The 24697-nt window shown below is 43.2% G+C and overlaps 1 protein-coding gene across 8 annotated transcripts in view, besides 2 other annotated features; it reads right to left on the bottom strand.

Moving 5' to 3' along the window:
• USP43 (ubiquitin specific peptidase 43) overlaps positions 1 to 24697 on the bottom strand; it is an 84428-nt gene that overhangs the window by 42118 nt on the left and 17613 nt on the right. For 3 of the 8 annotated variants that reach the window (NM_153210.5, NM_001267576.2, XM_047435320.1), the window contains exons 3-8: positions 20819 to 20922; positions 12587 to 12679; positions 10689 to 10824; positions 7204 to 7339; positions 4612 to 4747; positions 661 to 772 (exon numbers count right to left, since the gene is read on the bottom strand). In NM_153210.5, coding sequence (NP_694942.3) covers positions 661 to 772; positions 4612 to 4747; positions 7204 to 7339; positions 10689 to 10824; positions 12587 to 12679; positions 20819 to 20922 — 717 coding nt within the window. The other 5 variants (XM_017024159.3, XM_047435319.1, XM_017024160.2 and 2 more) reach the window with 4 other exon arrangements.
• Positions 10152 to 11351: an enhancer, noted in NCBI's record as "P300/CBP strongly-dependent group 1 enhancer chr17:9579536-9580735 (GRCh37/hg19 assembly coordinates)". NCBI's record gives its function as "activates an origin of replication core promoter dependent on BRD2, BRD4, P300/CBP, MED14 and CDK7 cofactors, with strong dependence on P300/CBP, by STARR-seq in HCT116 cells {active_cell/tissue: HCT116}" and the evidence as "EXISTENCE:reporter gene assay evidence [ECO:0000049][PMID:35650434]".
• Positions 10412 to 10912: an enhancer, noted in NCBI's record as "H3K27ac hESC enhancer chr17:9579975-9580475 (GRCh37/hg19 assembly coordinates)". NCBI's record gives its function as "activates a minimal SCP1, AML or CMV promoter by ChIP-STARR-seq in naive H9 embryonic stem cells {active_cell/tissue: H9 hESC(naive)}" and the evidence as "EXISTENCE:reporter gene assay evidence [ECO:0000049][PMID:30033119]".

The raw sequence follows: 24697 nt of genomic DNA, 5'->3' as shown, positions 1-24697 counted from the left end.
TGATATTATAGGAGCTAAAAACAAAAAATCAATAGTTTTTAAACATGCTGTTTTTGTTTGGAAACTACCAATCTGAGAATAAATAAATAAGGCAAATGTTTTCCTTTGAGTTATCTTAGTTTTTAAAAAACTGGACAAACTTATTTTAACATTTAGATTTTCATATTTGGACATAATCATCCATTTTAATTTTCCCAGAAATTCTATCTCAAGTCCCTTGAAATTGTTGATTTAAACATAAAAGTTACAATTTATTATAATATGCTATCTTCTAGGAAAAACTATGGTAAGCCATAAACATACAAAATTGGGAATAATAATGTAAATGCTTAGGGAATGATGGAAAATGTGAAAAAAAAAATTTCGTTTTAATGTAAATGCCATTTTCCCAATGGTGTTTTGAAAGATTTAATAAGAAAAAGCTCTGCCCATGAAAGGTATTTTGTAATGGCACAAAAGTAAAACACTACAGACTATAAGATGGTTACTTCCTTGCAAATAAATCTAAGTCATTTTATAAAACAGTATGAACACTCTTTAACAGCAAATTATCCTCTCCTGGGCTACACTAAATTCCACCCCTCCCAATACACACACCCACACACACGCATGCACATGCGCATGCACGCACACACACACACACGCATGCACACCACTGACCTGTACAGGGGCCTCACTCTTCATAAGATGGCGGACCTTGCTGAGGATAGACTGCTGGAGCTGGGCCCAGGAAACAGCTCTGTCTTCCCTTATCAGGAAGGGTGGCCCAAACCTGAAAATCCAAGGAAATCGGGTTATCCCAGCAAAGGAAAAACCAGCAACATCCACCAGTCATGAGTGGTTGTTCTAACCCTGGCTTCCTGTCAATAGGATAAGTGACAAGAGCTAAGCACAAAAACTCAACAGCAAAAAAAACCAAAGAATCCCATTTAAAAATGGGCAAAGGGTCTGAATAGACATTTCTCAAAATGACACACGTAGCCAACAGGCATATGAAAAAATGCCCAACATCACTAATTATCAGGGAAATGCAAGTCAAAACCCCAATGAGATATCATCTTACCCCAGTTAGGATGGCTATTATCAAAAAGACAAGAAATAACAAATGCTGGTGAGGATATGGAGAAAAGGGAACTCTTATACACTGTTGGTGGGAATGGAGACACCGTGGAGAAAAGCATGGAGGTTCTTCAAAAAACTAAAAATAGAACCACCATGTGACCCAGCCATCCCACTACTGGGTATTTATCCAAAGGAAAGATCATCATGTCAAAGAGATCTCTGCACTCCTGTGTTTACTGCAGGGCTATTCACAATAGCCAAGATTCCAAATCAACCTAAGTGTACATCGGTGGATGAATGGAAAAGAAATGAAAAAGAAAATGTGGTCTATATACACAACGGAATACTATGCACCCATAAAAAAGAAATGAAATCCTGTTGTTTGCGGCAAGATGGATGAGGCTGGAGGACATTATGTTAAGTGAAATAAGTCAGGCACAGAAAGATAAATACTGCATGTACTCCCTCATGTGGAATCTAAAAAAGTTAATGTCACAGAAGTAGAGTAGAATAGTGGTTCTACTAGAGGCTGGGAGGCGCCAGTGGGGGCTAGGAAAAGGTTAGGTAATGAATAAAAATTATAGCTAGATAGGAGAAATAAGCTCTAGTGTTCTATAGCAATATAGAGTGACTATTGTTAACAATAATTTATTGTATGCTTTCAATAGCTAGAGGATAGGATTTTGAATCTTCCCAACACAAAGAAATGATAAATGTTTGAGGTGACGGTTATGCCAATTACCCTGATTTGATCATTACACACTATGTACATGTATCAAAATATCACTCCGTACCCCATAAATATGTACAATTATGTGTCGATTAAAAATAATGTAAATGCTTTTTAAAGCCAAACACAATACAAAATTGCCAATCAGAGAACCTTGTAACAAATGGAGACACTGCAATGTAAGCAGAGGCCCAGTGACACAAAGCCAGGTAGATGCTGCTGTGTAAACAGATTACTCAAAATGACCAGCTAGCTGGCAAAATCTCTTACTCACAGCAGGGAATAGAGTAAGACAAGCTTGGAGCCAGGGGAAGGCAAGGCAGAGACATAAATCCAGATGACACAACTTTGGTTGGGGTATCGAGAATATTCTCATCACTGGGATGGTATCCATGTCCCAACATAGTAAGCGCACAGCAGTGAGCTCATGGTGTACAGAATGCTGGGTGAGCCTGCGCCTATGGGCCCTAACTCTGCCGTGGGTACTCCTGGACAAATCACTAGCGACTCACTGCTTCCTGGCCTCGCTGCAGCCTGTGTGAAGACCCAATGAGGTAAGAATGTGAAATTGTTGAATAAAATTGGCTAAAGCAGAACACAAATATGAGGTGATCTGTCTGGACAGGCAAGGGCACTGTGCGTCCATTGTTGTATGGACAGATCGGTTTACTTAATCCATCCTGTACTGTGAGGCATTCCAAGTTTTTATTTAAACAATGCTTGCTTATCGCAGGAACTAGATATAACCTTGGACATAACCTTTGAGCGCACAATTATTCCCTTAGGGTAAAGTTCCAGAAGTAGAAAGACAAGACTAAAGCTCTTTCTTCCCAAACTGTCCTCCAAAGAAGCCATACCAATTTACCTGATTCCCCGGACTCTGGCCCAGAATGAGTATTATCAATTTCTAAAAATCATTTAACAATCTAAGAGGTTAAGAATAGTATCTTGCTATTGCAACCAGAATTTCTCCCACTACAAATGATGCTGATTTTTTTTTTTTTTTTTTTTTTTGAGATGGAGTTTCACTCTTGTTGCCCAGGCTGGAGTGCAGTGGCACAATCTCGGCTCACCGCAACCTCCGCCTCCCGGGTTCAAGCAATTCTCCTGCCTCAGCCTCCCGAGTAGTTGGGATTACAGGCGTGAGCCACCATGCCCGGCTACTTTTGTATTTTTAGTAGGGATGGGGTTTCTCCATATTGGTCAGGCTGGTCTCAAACTCCTGACCTCAGGTGATCCGCCCGCCTCAGCCTCTCAAAGTGCTGGGATTACAGGCGTGAGCCACCGTGCCAAGCTGATGCTGAATATTTTAACCTATGCTTGTATTTCTTCTGTGAACTAATGTTCATCTCTGTGGTTCATTTCACCAAGGGTATTTATCTCCTTAATTTTCAAGAGCTGGAAAATTCGAGGATGGACATAAATCCTTCACCTCTCACATGGCATAAATATCTTTCCTCATTTGTCCTTTGCCTTTCAAATTTGCTTTTAGTTTAAATTTTTAAATATATTTAAAACATCAGCCTTTTCCTTTACAGCCTCCTGACTTTGATGTTAAACTAGCCCCCACCCAAGGACATAAATATTCTCCCATGTTGTCTTTATTAATTTATTTTTTATTTTTTATTTATTAATTTTTTTTTGAGACAGTCTCGATCTGTCGCCCAGGCTGGAGTGCAGTGGTGCAATCTCGGCCGACTGCAACATTTGCCTCCTGGGTTCAAGCGATTCTCCTGCCATAGCCTCCCAAGTAGCTGGAACTACAGGTGCGTGCCACCACACCTGGATAGTTTTTTGTACTTTTAGTAGAGATGGGGTTTCACCGTGTTAGCCAGGATGGTCTCGAACTCCTGACCTCATGATCCACCCACCTCGGCCATCTTTAAGTTATTTCATGGCTTCCTTTTCTCTAGTTACCTCTCTAGTCAACCTGAAATTTATACGTGTGAATTCATAGCAGGAGTAAAAAGTTGACTATTTAAAATAAAAAGCAACAAAGAAATCAATTAGCCCAGCCTTACTTTTGAACAATTCACTCACTCTGTAGTAATATGAAATATACCATAATTCTGAAATTATTAAAATATTGTAATACAGGCAGAAGAATATGCAATTAAATCAAACAAAATAGACCAACTATCTGTAAGTATTTATTACATGATAAAAATGATGTATTTCATATTACTAAGAGTTAATGAATTATTCAATAAGTAAGGCTGGGCTAATTGATTTTTAAAAGCTGAGCTAATTAATAATAGTTTAATTATTATTAAATAATCTTTTTGTTTTTACCAGTTTATTATTCAAGATACATTTTTAGAAACATTTTATCCATCTAAATATATCTTAATGTAATTCTGTCTTTTAAACACTTTATTTGGGCTATATAAGAAAGCTATCTGTTTTTGTATATTTGTTATATAACCCATCAATTTCCTGAACCCTTTCCTTACTGCCAATCACTTTCCAGTTCTTGGTTTTCTGGACAGACAACCAAATTATCACCTCTTTTCTTATAGCCAGTTTCTTTTAGCACTGCACCGCCTAGGTTTTACAATATAAAATAACAGTGGTGAAGGCAGTAAAAATTGTTCCTCCGATTAATAGGAAGGCCTCTGATGTCTGATGGTTAGGAATGATGACGTTAGCCAAATGCTTAAGGCAGATATTTCTAATCCTCTTAATCAGAAAGGACCCTACTTCTGGCTCCTAGTTTATTAACCTTGGGAATAAATGTTTAATTTTACTCTAGACAGGCTCCCAAGTACAGGTCTACAAATCCCAGACACCACATGAAAAAAGAATAAAGTGAAACATACCTGCTAGCCTGCTGCCCTGACCCCACCAAGTTACAGAAGAGGATTAGCACCTTGCTCTCACTGTGGAGAGAGAGGGAGAATCGCTGGCCCTCACGGGCTGCCAGGCGTGGGGAGGCCGACAGACCCAGTGGATGAGCTAGAAGGGAGAGAATGACATTTGTTCATATTCCTAAAGGAGCTGCTTTCCTGGGTCAGAGCCTTAGCTTCTCTAGTCCCTCTTTCTCTTTGAGCATCTATTAACCACCAATGGGGGGCCACTAGAGGGCTTTAGGGGAGGAGATAATGAGGTTCATGGCATTTGTGCCATCTGACGCCTGGCATACGAACATCAAGAATATGGTAGTGAATTTGCAATTGTGTTCACCCAATAGTTTTTTGTTTGTTTAAGACAGAGTCTCGCTCTGTCCCCCAGGCTGGATGGAGTACAGTGGCACAATCTTGGCTCACTGCAAACTCTACCTTCCAGGTTCAAATGATTCTCCTGTCTCAGCCTCTCCAGTAGCTGGGATTGTGGATGTGCACCACCACGCCCAGCTAATTTTTTTGTATTCTTAGTAGAGATGGGGTTTCACCATGTTGGCCAAGCTGGTCTTGAACTCCTGACCTCAAGTGATCCTCCTGCCTTGGCCTCCCAAAGTGTTGGGATTTCAGGCGTGAGCCACTGCACCTGGCCATCACCCTATAGTTTTAAAACAGGAACAAGAATTTAACTAATATATTTCAAGTCACCTGAAAAATACTCCAAAATAATTTTGGTTGCTTTTATGACTTCATTACAGAGTCCCCAGTTTATCTACTCTCTTAGAAAGCCAACATAAGAAGTATATAGAGATGGGTGAGAATCTTTACCAGTGAGGAAGTAGAGGAATTGGACTAGCCTCCATTTGCAATCAGTTCTGAAATGTTGACTTTCAAGGAAAAGATGTGTCCACCATGATTGAATTTGAAAGGAGAACTTGTTTCACTGGGTTGTAATATAGTCAGTGTCAGTTAATGTCTTGTTCTAGATTCCAATGCCCAGCATCTCCCTGTCAACTCAGAGAACTTCAAACATCCAGTTCCCATAGCCTGCTACCTAGGCTGGCCAAAATGTGGGGCCAGGGCGTAGGAATCATCTGGGGTATAAAGTAACACTGGCACAGGGTCCTTTAAATATGGGCCTTCTGGCCGGGTGTGGTGGCTCACACCTGTAATCCCAGGACTTTCGGAGGCTGAGGCAGGTGGATCACCTGAGGTTAGGAGTTCGAGACCAGCCTGGCCAACATGGTGAAACCCCATCTCTACTAAAAATACAAAAACTAGCCAAGCGTGGTGGCAGACACCTGTAGTCCCAGCTACTTGGGAGGCTGAGGCAGGAGAATCACTTGAACCCAGGAGGTGGAGGTTGCAGTGAGCCAAGATCACGCCACTGCACTCCAGCCTGGGTGACAGAGTGAGAAACCATCTCAAATATATATATATATATATATATATATATATATATATATATATATATAATATATTTTATATATATTTATCTATATATAATATAGATATTTAGCTATATAATATATTACATATTTATCTATATTATATTTATTTATATATATTTATTTATTTTATTTATTTTATTTATATATATATTTATTTATATATATATTTATATATATTTATCTATATTATATATAACATATATAATTATTAAATATATATCAAATATATTAAATACATATTAAATATATATTATATAATATATTCTATATAATGTATATATTATATAGTATATATTATATAGTATATTATATAGTATATATTATATAGTATATATTATATAGTATATATTATATAGTATATATTATATAGTATATATTATATAGTATATGTCATATATTATATTATATATGATATATAATATACATTTTATATATATTATATATTATATGTAATAGATAACATATATTTTATATATTACATATAATATATAATATATATATGGGTCTTCTTCACTAACTTGGCCAAAATGTATCCTGATCTACAAATAAAAAGGACTGTTAGAAATTGACCATGTTAGCCAGTCCATGGAATAGGAAAAGCAAGCATTAAGAAGTGGAACTATTTTGTTAAAAAGTCATTTAATAAAACTTTAACCACGTACTGCTCAAATTTGTAGACATTTTACTTCACACACAAATCTTGACCCATAGGAATCCTGACGGCAAAGATGACTCCAGCATCTATACCAAATAGTGGTTCTCAAAGTGTGGTTCCTGGACCAGCAGCATCGGCATCACCTGGGAACTTGGTTAGATGTGCAAACTCTTAGGCCCCACCCCAGGCCACCCAAATCATAAACTCTGTGGGTAGGGTCCAGAAATCTGCTTTCACACGCCCTCCAGGTGATTCTAATATTCACTAAGCTTAGTTTTGAGAATACTTGTGTTAGGTGAATAATTTTTAATATCAACCATCTGCACACAACGAATGCCAGGGATAATAAGTCTGACTGTTCCAAGTGCTAAAATTGGATGTTTTATGCCTTTGCACCCAAGGAGTATCCTCTGAAACCTGTAACTCATCATAGCCAAATAAAATTGTGCAAAGCACCTGTTATACCTGAGAGAGTCCCCTGGCTGGGTGAGGGAGGAACTTGAAAGGCATACACATTATCTCCCTCTGCGATGGTATTCAGGTCCTCTTCATCAAAGAAAGACCGCTGGAATCCACTGGGATACAGTTCAACCAAGATCACCTGAAATGAGAAAGATCATTTTCCCTCTTGATTTCTGAAAGAGAAATCAACAGATAAGAAATCTAAAAGTGACTGATAGTCAACACCCATTTTTCACCTTTTCCTTCCAATTGGCTACTTATTTTTAGTAATAAGGCAGCATAGTAGATACAACCATTAGATTGTCCTCAGACATCTCAAGTGCAACAAAAAAAGAAACTGAAAAAAAAAAAAAAAATCTAAGTTTTATACCCAGCTAAACAAGCATAGAAAAATGACAACAAAATAAAGCCCTCTTCATGTGAACAAAAAGTGAGTGTTTACTACAGAGTGAAAGAATTTCTGAATAGGTTTACTAACCTTTTTCACGTGATTGCATACATAAAAAAAATTTTTACCAAACATTGAAGTAAATAGGAGATGGTTTTGTAGCAGAGTAGAGGGGTGACTACTGTGGGGGCCCTGACTGCCCTAGACCCAACTCTGTTACCCTGATGCTGAAGAAATCAATATCTCAGCACACATAACCTATTCAAGGTACACTGCCTGGGAAGTTCTCGTTAAAAAGATGCATTTTGGGTGCCTGTAGTCCCAGCTACTACGGAGGCTGAGGCAGGAGAATGGTGTGAACCCGGGAGGCGGAGCTTGCAGTGAGCCGAGATCGTGCCACTGCACTCCAGCCTGGGCGACAGAGCGAGACTCCGTCATTAAAAAAAAAAAAAAAAAAAAAAAAAAGATGCATTTCAGGGCTGGGCACCGTGGCTCATGCCTATAATCCCAACACTTTGGGAGGCTGAGGAGGGAGGGTCACTTGAGCCCAGGAGTTCAAGACCAGCCTGAACAATACAGCAAGACCACATCTCTACACAATTTTTTTAAAAAATTAGCCAGGCATGGTGGCATGAGCCTGTAGTCCCAGCTACTCAGGAGGCTGAGGTGGGAGGATCCCTTGAGCCCAGGAGTTCAAGGCTGCAGCAAGCTATGATCACACCCCTGCACTCCAGCCTGGGCAACAGAGGAAAACCCTGTCATTCATTCATTCATTCATTCATAAATACATAGATTTCAGGATTTAAAAACCTGAATCAAAGAGAAAACTTGAGTTGTAGGAAGAAATGATGAACCAAAGAAAATGGTAAACATTGGCAAAGGTAAATATTATCAACTATATAAAGCTAAAATAATAACTATTATTACTATTACAGTTGGAGGTGGAGAAGGGATTAAAATACTGGACAATAATATCTAAATCAAAAAGGTATAAGGGGATTTAATGCATACCAAGATCCTTGTGTTACATGGGAAGATTGGCTTTAGACTCGTAATTATGCAAGTTGACATTTTAGTAACCACTAAAAGAATGGAAATATAATGTATATATTATATTTACATATACATATTGACATGTACATGAAGTACATCTTCTGGATGTACTTCATCCCAGAAAAGATGAAATAAAGAAAAATTGCTCAATGTAAAAGAATCATCTTCTAAAAGAAAAAGACTGTTCAATCTAAAAATGGGGGGGGAGGGGCGGTACAAAATAGGAAAACAGGGTAAATAGCATAAGATGACATAAATAAATAAGATGACATAAATAAATCCAAATACAGGCCGGGCGCAGTGGCTCACGCCTGTAATCCCAACACTTTGGGAGGTTGAGGCGGGCAGATCACAAGGTCAAGAGATCGAGATCATCCTGGCCAACATGGTGAAACCCCGTCTCTACTAAAAATACAAAAAATTAGCTGGGTGTGGTGATGCATACTCAGGAGGCTGAGGCAGGAGAATCGCTTGAACCTGGGAGGCGGAGGTTGCAGTGAGCCGAGATCGTGCCACTGCACTCCAGCCTGGCGACAGAGGGAGACTCCGTCAAAAAATAAATAAATAAAATAGAAAAATAAATCCAAGTACATATATCTATGATTTTATATAACATAAATATAATACACTTGCCAGTTAAAGAAAACAAAGCATCAAAATAGATGACTTTCAGTTTCAGTGGAAATGCCCGTCCCACACTGGCATCCCCAACTGACTCCCATCTCCCTGAACCAACACATCACACCTCTCAAATTCCTGCCAGATTTTTCACACTCTTAATTATTCAAACGCTCCCTCTCATAGACTTCTCCCTTTTGATCTTTTCTTACTGTCACTTTCTCCCCAGGACTCTCACCCACTGTCCCCCTCTCTCTCCGTCTCTTTCAGTAACTCCCCATAGTGCACTTTAAAGTTTACAAAGCAAGATACACACATTTCCCCTGCTATTTGAGAGAGTCATAAATATTCTATGAGGTAGCGATAGAGGTCAGAGGGATTGATTGGGCAGGGGCAGAAAGGAGCCCACTGGGGTGATGGGGAGGCTCAGGAAGCGTGGAGGTTATAGGAATGTAGCTATGAACGTAGAGAAAGCCAGCAAACCACAATCTTCAGATAGGTAGACGTTATTGTATGTGTGGCATGCCTTCCCAACAAGGTTAAAAATATTTTTTGATTTGAAAAAATCCCATGAGATAGTCAGGGAAGTGTCAATTTCCATGTCACAGTTAAGGACACAGAGCCAATCACATACTGTGTCCAGGGTCAGAAACCTAGGGAGCTACTGAATCACCCTGAGGGCCGCTCCCATCCTGCCATGTGGCTTGGCGCCACCACGGCCTCCTCCCTATTCCTCATGAGGGCCCCTCCAGGCACTGTGAATCCAATCGCTTTACTAAGACTCGTTTGAAAAGAAAACAGGTAGAACACAGCCATCCCAGCTTCCGCCAGATGTTCTCTCTCATGTTATACATCCTCAGTTCTCTCAGCAGGTCCTCCTGCTTCATTTACTGTTCCTTTACTGTCCTGGTTTATATTGCCAAGACTGAAAATATACAATGGTGACTTGGGCTATGAAGTCAAACCATCGAAATCCAAATCCTGGCTCAGCCACTTACTAGCTAGTGACGTTGGGCAAGTCACTTAACCTCTCAGGGCTTCTTTATTCCCCATTAGTAAGATGAGGATAATTGTAATGTCTACTTCACAGGACGCCTGTGATTAAATCAGGCATGAATAGAAAGTTCACAGAATAGTGCCCCACACTTAGTAAGCACTACCTAGGGGTAGCTATTGCTGGAATTATTATGATCATAATTGTCATTGCCTTCTCGGAAGGCAAAGGTGTTCTTTTCTGGTCATTCTGTGTCAATGCAGGGAAAAGTCAAGGCCCAGTCATCCCAGACAGCAGGCATTACTAATCAACCAGAAACCCATGAGTCATACTGGAGTCACCTGGGAACCACAAATTGGCCTAAACAGCCTAGACAGCTGGCTCAGTTAGCATTCTATCATCCAATGACCAGGCCCCAGTGCAATTCTATCACACCTCATCTGCAGGGACGCCTCCTTCCTCTGCAACCATCTTCCTCAGGGCTGCCACTGTGCTGAGGATCGGCACGGCCAGGCCAACCCGCAGGAACCGCTGGCTCTTAGAGGGGAAGACCAAGGTGACACTCAAGAACCTGGAAAATAGGAAGGGGCAACACCCTTAAAGGACTGACATGAACTGTGAATGACATTGTTGATAATGGATCAAGGCCAGGCGCAGTGGCTCACACCTGTAATCCTAGCATTTTGGGAGGCTGAAGCAGGTGGATCACCTGCGGTCAAGAGTTCGAGACTAGCCTGGCCAGCATGGTGAAACCCCATCTCTACTAAAAGTACAAAAAAATTAGCTGAGTGTGGTGGCGGATGCCTGTAATCCCAGCTACTTGGGAGGCTGAGGCAGGAGAATCGCTTGAACCTGAGAGGCGGAGCTTGTAGTGAGCAGAGATGGCACCACTGCACTCCAGCCTGGGTGACACAGCAAGACTCCATCTCAAAAAGAAAGAAAGAAAGAAAGATAATGGATCAAGTTCAGCACATAGTTAATCTCCGCTTCCTGGTTGTGTCCCTGTACTTGGTACATTGTCACCAGGTGGCAGGGTAGAGCCAAATCTTCTAAATTACTTTTCCAGAGAATTGGGGGAAAAAGTATTTGATTAAGAATCACCATAGAGATGTCCGATCTCAAGGCTCTAGTTGTTAAATAGATAAGCTTAAACAAAAACAAACTCCAAAGTTTGAAAATTAAAGCAGTCAAGGTGTTTTTTTCAGTACAAATCAACACTACTGATGACATTCTCCTTAATGAGAGTCTCCTTTGGAAATCTCTGCTTCCCCTTCCCACCGGCATATGAAGGCCCACTCTTGCAGCTACTGTTTCTCTTGATCTGTACTCCAATAACTGCCCAAGTCACACAGGTAATTAATTAATAGAGCTGGGATTCGAACCTGGGCCGTCTGGCTCCAGAGTCAGTGGTCTTGACCACTCTGCTGTGCTGTGTCAGGCTGGGAGTCTTAGATCATCACATCTATAAGTTGACATTATCTGATGGTGTCACTGATGATAGACAGCATAAGCCATGTTATAGCATAAGCCAGTAGTTATATTTGTAGTGCAGAAGATCAGCAGCACACAATTTTAGAGCAGAAAGGGAGATTGAGTTGCCAAGCAAGGCCCTCTGAAGATGTTATGTCTTCAGCTGCATCCTAAAGGCAGGGGATGTCAATAGGAAGAGGGTAAGAGAAATGGCACTTAAGGAGGTGGGGAACATAAAGAGGAAATACCTCTCTTCCAATGCCAGAGAAGACACCCCACATAGGAGCTCACCCACATGCCAGGACACTGACATTGGCCATTTGCCTTCCTGGTCACTGCTAAGATTTGGGCTTATTTTTATAGAACTCGGCCCATGGTGCCTGTTACCCAGCCCTACCTCCACTTTTCTTTTTTTTTCTCATCTTCCCCAAACAACCCCTTTCCTCTTTCTTTGCTCCTTAAAGAAATCTTTTTCCTGCACCTTCTCAAAGAAGAAAATAGATTTTTGAAGTTGAAGTAAAGCTGGGGAAAAAAAAGCAGGTGGCCACGGATTTTCTCTAGTTTGCCCCTGTCTCACTAAGTGAGACCAATGGGTCCGTGCCAGCTTCTGAATGGGCCACAGATCTAAGTCTGGCAATTGTGCCAAACATTCATAATTCCTTCCTCAGCTAGAGAAGGAACACAGTAACCTTTCACTCTGTCAATTTCAATAGTTGAATGTCATCCAGCTATAAGGCTGGTTTCCAGAGAAATGCTGGCTGAGAAGCAAAGGAGAGAAAATGGCAGGTGTGAGGCCAGAAGCTTCCCCGTAATGAGTAAGGATGGAAGTCAAGTTCACCGGGCAAGCCGCGACACTCACGTACCTCGTCTGGCGCAAGGGGATAGGTAGGGACACACACAGGAAAGGATCAAAGGTGTTGCTCTGTTTCAGGCAGTGGGGACAAGTCAAGGAAGATCTGTGAGGGTGAAGAACAGAGGCGAACGTTTAATCACACGTAAACAATTTGGGGGTAAAATTCAATACAGAATTATCCTTGCATTTCCACTCCCTGTGATTCCACTCGTAGGTACATACCCAGAAGAATTGAGAACAGGTGTTCAAATACTTGTACACAAGTGTTCATAGCTGCTCTATTCACAATAGTTAAGGTGGGAACAACCCAACCGTCCATCAACAGACAAATGGGTAAACAGAATATGATACGTCCACATAGTAGAGTACAACTCAGCCATAGAAAGGAATGAACCCCTGGTCCATACTACAACGTGGATGAACCTTGAAAACAGCACGCTAAGTGAAAGAAGCCAGACATGAAAGCCCACATATTGTACGATCCCGTTTATATGAAGTATCCAGAACAGGTAATGCCATAGACACAGAAAGCAAATTGGTGGTTGCCAGGAGCTGAGGGAAGGGAGGATGAGGCTGACTGCTTACTGGGTACCAGGTTTTATTTTGGGGTGATGAAATGTTTAGGAACTAGGAGGTGGTAGCTGCACAACACTGTGAATGTACATGTCACTGATTTGTACGCTTTAGAATGCTTAACTTTATGTTACAGGACTTTCACCTCCGTTTTTTTAAAAGGGAAAAGAATGTTTAGTGACACACATAAATGCACTGAGTATGGGAAGGGAAGCTATAACCCGCCCCTGCCATACAAACCCAGCATGCCAACTTCCAAGCTGAAGGGATCTCAGGACCATCTCTTCCCCTGCTTCTCAGCCTCACTGTGCCCCAGAACCACAGGAAGGCTTTTTTAAAATTCCAATGTCCAGGCCCCACTCCCAGAGATTCTGTTTCAAGGTGGGTAGAGAGGGGTCCAGACATCAAAATCTTTCTAAAATCCTGAGCTTTTAAGCTCCCCAGATGACCCTAGTGTTCTCCCATAGTAGAGAATCACTGACACTGCCCACCCTCCTTATTGTACAGAAGAAGAAACCATAAGAAATAGCTCCTTAAAGTAATAACTAACATGGAAATAGCATGTACTAAGAACCAAGCATAATTCTGAGCACTTAGCATAGATGAACCCATTTACCACCCATAGCAACTGATATTATACACATTTTACAGAAGAGAAATCTGAAGCACACAGAGGTTAAGTAATTTGCTGAAGAACACACAGCTCTTAAGTAAGAAAGCTAGGCTCAGTTTCCAGACTCCGTGCTCATATCATTCCTGCGTTCTTTCGTAGAAGTCGGTGAGGTGTCAGTTGGTTCAGAGTAGATATATATAATGTTCATTTATATTCTTTCAACTCTTTTAAACTTAATACTCCTTTACTTTAGAATGGATCTCTGAAAGTGAAATGCAACTTTTTTTTGTTTGTTTTTGGAGACGGAGTCTCGCACTGTCACCCGGGCTAGAGTGCAATGGCGCGATCTCGACTCACTGCAACCTCTGCCTCCCAGATTCAAGCGATTCTCCTGCCTCAGCCTCCTGAGTAGCTGGAATTACAGGTGCCTGCCACCACGCCCGGCTAATTTTTGTATTTTTTTCAGTAGAGACGGGGGATTCACTATGTTGGCCAGGCTGGTCTCGAACTCCTGACCTTGTGATCCACCCACTTCAGCCTCCCAAAGTGCTGGGATTACAGGCGTGAGCCACTGCCCCCGGCTGAAATGCAACTTTTATATTCCACATGTACATACCAATTTTCTTTCTCTTATCATATAATGCACCATATTCTTCCAAGACACAAGGGATTTCTGCATGCTATGTTACTAATCCTAAAATCTACATTAACTTCGCTGAGGACACAGAACAAGACCGCCCTGGCAGTCTGACTCTGAAGTCTATACTCTTAGCACTGTATGACATTACCGGGATAAGTCAGCAAGTAAGCCAAAGTTGGTATCAGAACAGGTTTCCTGAGTCCTTGTGGAAAGTGCCCGTCTCGTTTGATTGGTTTTCCACTGAGCAGACAAATAGGAAAATCCAGGGACAAACAGGAACATAAACAGGAGAGTGTCGCCCGAGGCAATCCTGGGTGATCTGCCCATTTAAGTCAGTTATCTTGGATACAACTTATCAGACCATCAACCTGATTATAGGAAACAGGCCCCAGTACTGGACATTCCATCACTCATGCTGCCTCAGGTCATTTCCCTTTGGGAGACCCATGGTAGTGTTTTTGTTGAAAGCATTGTATCAGACAGTGAACACCAGCCAGCCAGAAATCCAACATTTCTGGGGTCTCCTCTGCCACTGCGTCTCTCCTCCAATCCTTCTCCACCTCTGTCCATCACGTACCTAGGCAAAAAATTGGCCTGAAGGATATACTTGGGTCATTGGGAAATTCCCAAATTCCCATTTCACAAGTATATAAACCAATGAGAGAGAATGTTTTTCATTGACGTCTTCATGCTTTTCAGCCTACCAAAACTATGCTGGGTTGCATTTTTCTTGAAGCATTGCGACATATTAAACTGGTTCAGGAATATGACTTTTACATTGAGCCACCAACTCCTATCAGCTAGCAAGCGATGAGTGGTTTGTAGAAAAAAAGTAGAATGGGCAAATTTTATATTGAAAGAATGAAAACGATGGCCAGGCGCAGTGGTTCACGCCTGTAATTCCAGCATTTCGGGAGGCCGAGGTGGGCAATCACCTGAGGTCAGAAGTTCGAGACCAACCCGGTCAACATGGTGAAACCCCATCTCTACTAAAAATACAAAAATTAGCCGGGCGTGGTGGCAGGTGACTGTAATCCCAGCTACTTGGGAAGTTGAGGCAGAAGAATCGCTTGCACCCGGGAGGCGGAGGTTGCAGTGAGCTGAGATCGCGCCATTGCACTCCAGCATGGGTGACAAGAGCAAAACTCTGTCTCAAAAAAATAAAAATAAAATAAAGAATGAAAAAGTATAATGTTTTCATAATAAACTATAGGAAAGATGTCAAATACATCCACGTGTCAAAGGTTCAGAAATCAGGACAGACTGATGTGACAAACAGATCTGAAGAAGATGGAGAGGCAGCTTCACTTTTACAAAAAGTTCTGCCCATGTTACCAGGCTAGAGCAATACCCCTATGTGGCCTGATGGATGCCTCCATTCTCCCCATTCCCTCCAGGACATTCACAGTCCTGCCCTGTTGTCTCACAAGTGCACTCAAGGGGAAAAGGAACAGAAAATCACCCCACTGCCTTTCAATGTTCACAGGCCCATTTCCCTAAGGTATTCATTCTCCTTGTCAAATTGCTTCTGTTAACAAAGCTAATCCCGTCAGTGCTATTAAAACTCAGGGCTGCGGTTTGCTTTTCCACCTGCTACAAACGCCCACCAAAGAGCCCCAGGCTTTGCCCCTGAATTTCTTGTCACTCTGCCCTTTAACTGCTGCCAAATACACACACATCTTTCACCTCAAACCCAGTCCACTTTACCTGCTCACTGAACAGTGGATCTGACGTCTATGCAAACAACAGTAATTATGCCAATACGTAAGCAAGATCTCACCTTTCCAAGATCTGTTCTGAGGAAGCCTTCAAAAACATCCTTAGACTTTCTGTGGATAAAGGCTATGAAGGACATGAAGAATTTGTGCACACACACACACACACACACTCCCTCCTCCAGCCAAAACTCCAACATAGCCACAATCGTTGGTCGTTAGACTTGCAGACATTTTTAGACTGTGATGATAATCACATAGAATAACTAAATATCTTTGCTATAGTCCAGGATCTTCGGTACTCTAGTACTGGAGGTTCCTTTTCTCTCCCCCAGCCAAAGTCAAAAACTCAGCCCCTTAAAAGGGGTTTAAGGGAAGATGCCTCTGAATTAACCCATAATAACATCCATCTCTCAATTACATCAAGAAGGCTGATGCCATCCCAGGCAAGCCCTCCCCAGGGAGAGGAAGCCAGGAGAGAGTCAGGGACAGCAGGAGACGCCAGCCAGGCACTTCCCCCACTGACCACTGCAGAAAACCACCCCTCAGACCTCAAGGCATCCCTGACGACACCTTGTCTTTATCAGCAGGCACAAAGCTGGCATTTTTAGCCATTGCCAGTTCATCTTTAGCGTGAACACCTCGCCTCTTACTCATCATGCTATAGGAAAAAATACCCAAAGGGCATTGATGGTCCTTAATATCCAATCAGCTCAAATGTCACTCCCTCGGAAGTCCTCCCCACCCCCGATTCATCCCACGCCAAGTCAGGCATGTACTTCAAAGCACCCTCGATTTTTCCTCCAAAGTACTCACCAGTTATAATCATAGAAAAACCCAAGAGTCACCCTAGAGTCTCACCTCTCCCTTAGTTCCTCTACCCCTCACCCCGTTAGCAAGACTGGGGTGAGGGTTGTGGGGTGGAAGGACTAATGGAAAGATGCTGACTCTCCATCCAAAAACATACTCCAAACCCCTCCACTTCCCTCCATCTCTACCGCCACCTCTGCAGTTCCAACCACCATTGCTCTCCCACTGGGACCACAGTGGCACCAACTGTTGCTCCTGCCTCCTCTTGCCTCCCTGCATTGCTCATAAAAAGCAGTTGCCTCTGGGCCAGGTGCAGTGGCTCACGCCTGTAATCCCAGCACTTTGGGAGGCCGAGGCAGGTGGATCACTAGAGGTCAGGAGTTCAAGACCAGCCTGGCCAGCATGATGAAACCCCATCTCTACTAAAAATACAAAAATTTGCTGGGCATGGTGGCACACGCCTGTAGTCCCAGCTACTTGGGAGGCCGAGGCAGGAGAATGGCTTGAACCTGGGAAGCAGAGGTTGCAGTGAGCCGAGACTGCGCCACTGCACTCCAGCCTGGGTGATAGCATAAGACTCCGTCTCAAAAAAAAAAAAAAAAAGCAGTCACCTCTGAAACTAATGAACTAGATCACTCCCTCCTTTAACTCTGCAGTGTCTTCCTGTGCCCTTGAGACTAAAACCCGCACACTTGGACTGAAAACCTGCCCTACCAGGTCCCCACCCACCTCTCCAGCCATCTCCAGCGCATGCCTGTAATCCCAGCTGCTCTACTCACTCCTTGGCAGCTACCTTGGGCTTTCCATTCCTTGAACTTGCCAGGATTATTCCCACTTCTGGCCCTTTGCCTGTGCTGTGTCCTCTGCCTGGAATACTCTGTGCCCAGTTATTAAAATGGCAGACTCCTTGTCACTCTGTTTTCAGCTCCGAAAAGAAGCCTAGTCCCTGCCCGCCTTATGGAATGTGGGCCACTTCCCCGCCTCCCAAGTGCTTCCTTATCTTTCTGCTGATGGCTATCACAGGTTGTTGTTTACTTGTACATTATCTAGCATTCCCCCAGGTAGAATGCGAGCTCCCTGAGAACAGGGGCTGAGTCTTGTTCACAGCACCTACAAGACAACCCAGCACGCAGTAGGGCATGAATGAAATATCTAAAGAATCAACAAGGATTCAGCCAGGAGTTCTACTCCTCATGGTAACTATTGGACCAAGCACATTAGCAGGCACTTGAATATTTGAAAGAAGGAAGAAGAGTATGTGGACGAGAGGGGAAATGAATAGAGAAATAGGTGAATTAATTGTACAAGCACACAGATGAATTCGACCTGCTGGCGATGATCAGTGATCTCTCCCCTCTCTCTAACATGCCTTCACCTTATACTCCCCTTTCCCTTGTTCTAAATGTTCTTCTTTCACTTTCTCTATGCTTTTCCTCTGTCTCCTTATTTTTGGTTCTAGCACCCTCTGCGTTGGGCACCTGAAGAGGAGACAGATGCCCGGCCGGGCGTGGTGGCTCAGGTCTGTAATCCCAACACTTTGGGAGGCCGAGGCAGGTGGATCACAAGGTCAGGAGTTCGAGACCAGCCTGACCAACATGGTAAAACCCCATCTCTACTAAAAATTAAAAAAAAAAAAAAAATTAGCCAGGCATGGTGGCACGCACCTGTAATCCCAGCTACTCAGGAGGCTGAGGCAGGAAAATCACTTGAACCCGGGAAGTGGAGGTTGCAGTGAACCAAGATCGTGCCATTGCACTCTAGCCTGGGCAACAGAGGGAGACTCTGTCTCAATAAATAAATAAATAAGACAGATGCCCTACAAGCGGCTTTCATGGCCAATAGCTTTCAAGGCTGGTGACCACAAAATCTAGGTTTCCTCTCTGCATACCTCCTGGAGAGTTACCACATCCCTCAGGAAATGAGCAAGGCTTTCTTCAGGCATGACAGAGAAATCTGAGCTCATAGAGGTGAGATCCTCTTTACCCTGTATACTAAACAACCTCAAGCAAGCAGGAACGAAGAGCCCGCAGTCATCCCGGCTGTTTCTTCAGGGTCCCTGTCCCTGGTGAGGCAGAGCGTGAGAGAACTTGTCAAGTGCTATAGATTTTTCTTCACCAGTGGAAAGCAGCTTAGTTTCAAAGACTATTTGGTCTTCCTAAATAAACAATCAGCCTCTAAAGACAGTAATTATATCCTATTTATCTTTTCAGTGGTTATTGAATATAACATGAATCCTAAATCAGGATAGTTTCCGGGCAGTTTTAAGTGACCTCTTGCTGTGCAAACACAAAGAATACAAATCCCCAAAAAGTATGGAAGTAAATGGCTATAAGCAAGGAAATTCTAGAAGACTGAATAATTATCTCCTTGTTTGAAGAGAAGTCAATAAGAGAAGAAAACCACCTGGAGACCTCCAAAAAACCACTGCAGAGAAATGCAAAGGAAATATTATCCAGACGACTCGGAGAAAAGCATGGCTTCGAAATGATTTAGTGCAACATCCAGAAGAAAAATACAAAAAACTTGTTTTGGTATCCATAATAGAGAACAGAGTTCCTGTGAAATTGAAGGAGCAGCAGAGAATCACAGTGAATGAACAAGGTTAGCTGGAAAAACAGAAAAATTGCAAAGAAGGCAAAAAGGCAGGACTTGTGCTTTAGACATATTTCAGGGGACAAATCCTGGTTCTGCCACTTACCATGTGTCTGTAGAAAAAGCCCAACTTCCCAAATTTTAATACTCATCCCCTGAGACTTTTGTAAGGCTTAAAATATATATAGACACACACACACATATAAACGCATGATTATATATATTGGCAACACACAGACACGCGCACACGTGCACGCACACATGCACACACACATATACACACACAGGCAAGCATCTTAGAGGAGGCTCTCTGTAACCAATGGCTTCCTCGTCTAAATCCCGACCACTGTGCTCATTCCCACCTTTAAGCTTGCATTTGTTCCTGTTGACTATCTTCCTACCCATTCGTACTTCTATTCATCCTGCAGAGGCCAACAAAAGGCACACTTCCTCTGAGAAGTCCATGGGGTTTTCTCCCCTCTCTGACCTTTCACTGCTGTCAGCGCTTTCACTGAACATTATAATATTGAAACGATTCTGCCTTGTATGAATCTCTGCACTTTCACATATAAAAGCTCAAAGAGAACACATACTTTCTGAAGTCAAAGGCTGTATAACTTTTTTTATTGTTTGTTTATTTATTTATTTACTTTTTTTTTGAGATAGGGTTTCACTCTGTTGCCCAGGCTGGAGTACAGTGGTGCGATCACGGCTCACTGTACGCCAGCCTCGATCACAGCCTTGACCTCCTGGGTCCAAGCAATCCTCCTATCTCAGCCTCCCGAGTAGCTGGGACCACAGGCACGTGCCACACCCGGCTAGGTTTTGTTTTTGTTTTTTGTGGTTTTTTTTGGTACAGATGGGGTCTCCCTATGTTGCCCAGGCTGTACATACATTTTTATATCCTCCATAACGCTTGGAACTCTTGAGCTCAGAATGACTTGTTAAGTTGGGCTCTCTGGAGAGAGAACAAACAGGAAGGGTCTCTCCAACTTCAGAGTGACTGCTTGCTAGTGAGATCCCAGCTCACATTTACCTTCTGTGGAATCATCCTCTTATCACCCCTCCTTCAAGTAAGGTGGAGAGCTCAGAAGCCAAGAAGAAGGAAAAGAAGAAATACCAAAGGTCAGAGACAACAGGAGTGTGTGCTTAATCAGGATTTATAATGGGAGAGAGAAGGGTGTTTGTGGTTTTGTTGTTTTGAAATCTCAGGGTAAATCTGTCAATGGGAGACTGGTTACCAGGAATTGAGTCTGCGGAGCCCTCGGGTGATACATTCTAAACACATCCCCATCTTACCTATATTGTGCTTGAAAGTGGCTTTGCACAAAGCTTTGACCTAGAGGAAGCTGAGCTGATGGTGACAGGCAGTTCTCAGAGGTTTTAGTGGCTTCAGGCGGAAGCTGCAAAGAAATGAGGAAAGGAAGCCAGATTAGATACACCTCTCATCACTCAACTGCTTCCAGACCACCGAGCCCATGCTTCCTCCTGGGCCCGCATCATCCCTTTCTGGGCCTCTGTAGAGTCTCAACCTTCAGTGCTGCCTTTACCATAACTCAAGGCTCTTTCAATCCCCTGACCTCCCAAATTCTCTGGGACAAGAAGTGTGTGTGCATTAAAAGAGCAAACCTGAGCCTGAACCTTGGTGGATGCTCGCTCATTCTCACCAGCCTCACCCGTTCCCCCTGGATGGACGGCCCTGCGCGTTATTTCTGTCCCACTCGGCTTCAATGTCTAGATGCCTCTCGTATATTTATTGGGTGGGCTTGCCATCACCTCAAACGCATCCACACCAAATCTCTCCACCTTCCACCTGCCTGCTAAATCATTCCTGCCCACATTTTCTCAGGAGTCAGTTTCACATGAGTATTCTCTTTTGCAGGCAAATGAGGCTTTTCGTTTTTCAATTTGGTACACAAGCTTCCTTCACTCTGTCCATCAGTCCTGCTGTCCTTTTCATTCCCCTTGCATTTCCTTGTTTCCTGTGGCTGTGACAGCAAATTATCACAAACTGGGGGCTGTAAACAATAGCTTACTCTCTCACAGTTCTCACGAGCAGACATCCAAAATCAGTATCACGGCACTGAAATCAAGGTGTTGGCAGGGCTGCACTCCCTCCGGAGGCTCTAGATGAGAGTCTGTTCCTTGACTCTTTCAACTCTGGTGGCTGCCGGCATTCCTTGGCTTGTGACCACATCACTCCAGTTTTCAAGCCTAGCATCTTCAACTCTCTCTCTGCTCTGTCTTCACATAGCTTTCTCCTGTGTGTGTCTCAAATTTCCCCCAGCTTCTCTTTCACAAGAACACTGGTAGTGCATTTAGGGCCCACTGGGATAATCCAGGTTAATGACCCCATCTCAAGATTCTTAATCACATCTCCAAAGTCTTTACCATAGAAGGTAATGATATAATTTGGCTGTGTCCCTACCCAAATCTCATCTTCAATTGTAATCCCCACAATCCCCACATGTCTAGAGAGAGACCTGGTGGGAGGTGATTGGATCATGGGGGCGGTTCCCCCATGCTGTTCTCGTGTTAGTGAGTGAGTTCTCATGAGATCTGATGGTTTTATAAGGGGTGCTTCCCCCTTTGCTGCTCACTCCTCTCTCTCCTGACACCTTGTGAAGACGGTGCCTGCTTCCCCTTCCACCATGACTGTAAGTTTCCTGAGGCCTCCCCAGTCATGTGGAACTGTGAGTCAATTAAACCTCTTTCTTTTGTAAGTTACCCAGTCTCAGGTATTCCTTTATAGCAGTGTGAAAACAGACTAATACAGACAACATCTACAAGATGCAGCGATTAGGACCTCATATCTTTGGGGGTCATTTTTTAGCCTATCTCACCTCAGGGCTTCTGTGTGCCCTAATGCCACCAAACTCCTCTGGACCCCTATCCCTTCCAAAATGAGTTATATGACCTTTCTAGTTTCCCTAAATTTATTCTTCACCCCCTGCCCATTCCCTACCACACATGGGACACAATATTTTGATTAAGGCCCTGTTATGCCAAAATTTCTGCCCTGGAAGAGGTCTGTCCCTAAGGGCAATCCCAGAATCAAAGCCACTCATAATATAACGCTATTTAGTAAAATATAAACGTACCTATATAAATATTGACTGGGCGCGCTGGCTCACGCCTGTAATCCCAGCACTTTGGGAGACCGAGGTGGGTGGATCACGAGGTCAGGAGATCAAGACCATCCTGGCTAACACGGTGAAACCCCACCTCTACTAAAAATATAAAAAATTAGCTGGGCGTGGTGGCGGGCACCTGTAGTCCCGGCTACTCGGGAGGCTGAGGCAGGAGAATGGCGTGACCCCGGGAGGCGGAGCTTAAAGTGAGCCGAGATCGTGCCACTGCACTCCAGCCTGGGTGACAGAGCGAGACTCCGTCTCAAAAAAAAAAAAAAAAAAATCTATGCAAGGCCCCACATAAAATATGCCCTAGAGCAGCACCTCTCAACTTTTTCATCATCACTCCCCCCATGGAGTCTTTTTAGACAATTTTTCCTAACATTTCCACCATGAAACTTGAATACCATAGATACATCGTGCACCTGTCTATATATACCTTTAGAAGAACAGGCAGGCAGTGAGGTGTACGTAAAGACCTGGGTGACATTAGGGGTAAATGTTGAAGGATTTTAGAAAGCAGACGACAGAACCAGGCAAAAGGAACATATGTGAAGCGTCTTGGGTAAGGTGTGCAATTTACTTCAAAGTACATCCAAGAAAATAAGATGAGGGGAAAAAAAGATATGAGTAATGAGTGGATAGAGAGACAGATGGGTAAATGCGTGATAAAGCAAATTTAGTACAACGTAAGTTGTAGAATCTAGGTGATGGGGAGGAGTGTTTACTGCATAATTAATTCAACTTTTCCATATGTTTGAAATTTTTCATAATAAAATATTGAGACAAGTTATGAGTGCTCAAAATGGTCATTCTTATATGTCCTAATATTTTATGACACCCAGTTTCCCTAGAATACAGGAAGTGCAAAGGGAAGTAGAAAACAGGGCTGGAAAGTGAGTCTGGTGCCACAGTGGGTGGGGGCTTCTATGTCCTAACAGAGACTACCTGGCTCAGTGAACAGCATGGTACCAGGGTCAAGAATGTCCAAACCAGGCTGGGCACAGTGGCTGACACCTGTAATCCCAGCACTTTTGGAGGCCAAGGCGGGTGGATCACCTGAGGTCAGAAGTTCAAGACCAACCTGGCCAATATGGCGAAACCTCGTCTCTACCAAAAATACAAAAAATTAGCCAGGCGTGATGGCAGGCACCTGTAATCCCACATACTCAGGAGGCCGAGGCAGGAGAATCACTTGAACCCTGGAGGCAGAGGTTGCAGTGAGCCGAGATTGCGACACTGCACTCCAGCCTGGGCAACAAGAGCAAAACTCCATCTCAAAAATACAAACAAACAAAAACAAACAAACAAAAAGAATGTCTGGGCGGGAGCAGTGGCTCACGCCTGTAATTCCAGCACTTCGGGAGGCTGAGGCGGGTGGATCACCTGAGGTCAGGAGTTCAAGACCAGCCCGGCCAACATGGTGAAACCCCATCTCTACCAAAAATACATAAATTAGCCAGGCATGGTGGCGCACATCTGTAATCCCAGCTACTTGGGAGGCTGAGACAGGAGAATCGCTTTAACCTGGGAGGCAGAGTTTTCAGTGAGCTGAGATCACACCACTGCATTCCAGCCTGGGTGACAGAGCAAGACTTTGTCTCAAAAAAAAAAAAAAAGAACATCCAAATCCCCACACCGGTACTTGACTACAAGTTACTCGACTGCTCTGATCCGGCTAAAAAAGTTACTTAATCTCTTTGCTCCATGATTTCTCAACTATAATAAAGGGATAATGACAGTACCTGTCTGATAGGGATGCTCTGAGTATTTAAAGAGTTATATATATATATAAAACATAAGGCTGAATACAGTGGCTCAAGCCTGTAATCTCAGCACTTTGGGAAGCCGAGGTGAGTGGATTACTTGAGGTCAGGAGTTCGAGACCAGCCTGGCCAACATGGTAAAATCCCGTCTCTACTAAAAATACAAAAATTAGCCGGGTGTGGTGGTGCACACCTGTAATCCCAGCTACTCAGGAAGCTGAGGGAGGAGAATTGCTTGAGCCCAGGAGGCGGAGGTTGCAGTGAGCTGAGATCGCACCACT

The sequence above is a fragment of the Homo sapiens genome, chromosome 17, assembly GCF_000001405.40.
Source record: "Homo sapiens chromosome 17, GRCh38.p14 Primary Assembly".
In the NCBI taxonomy this organism is placed as follows: domain Eukaryota; kingdom Metazoa; phylum Chordata; class Mammalia; order Primates; family Hominidae; genus Homo; species Homo sapiens.
This window is presented reverse-complemented; position numbering and strand designations above follow the sequence as displayed.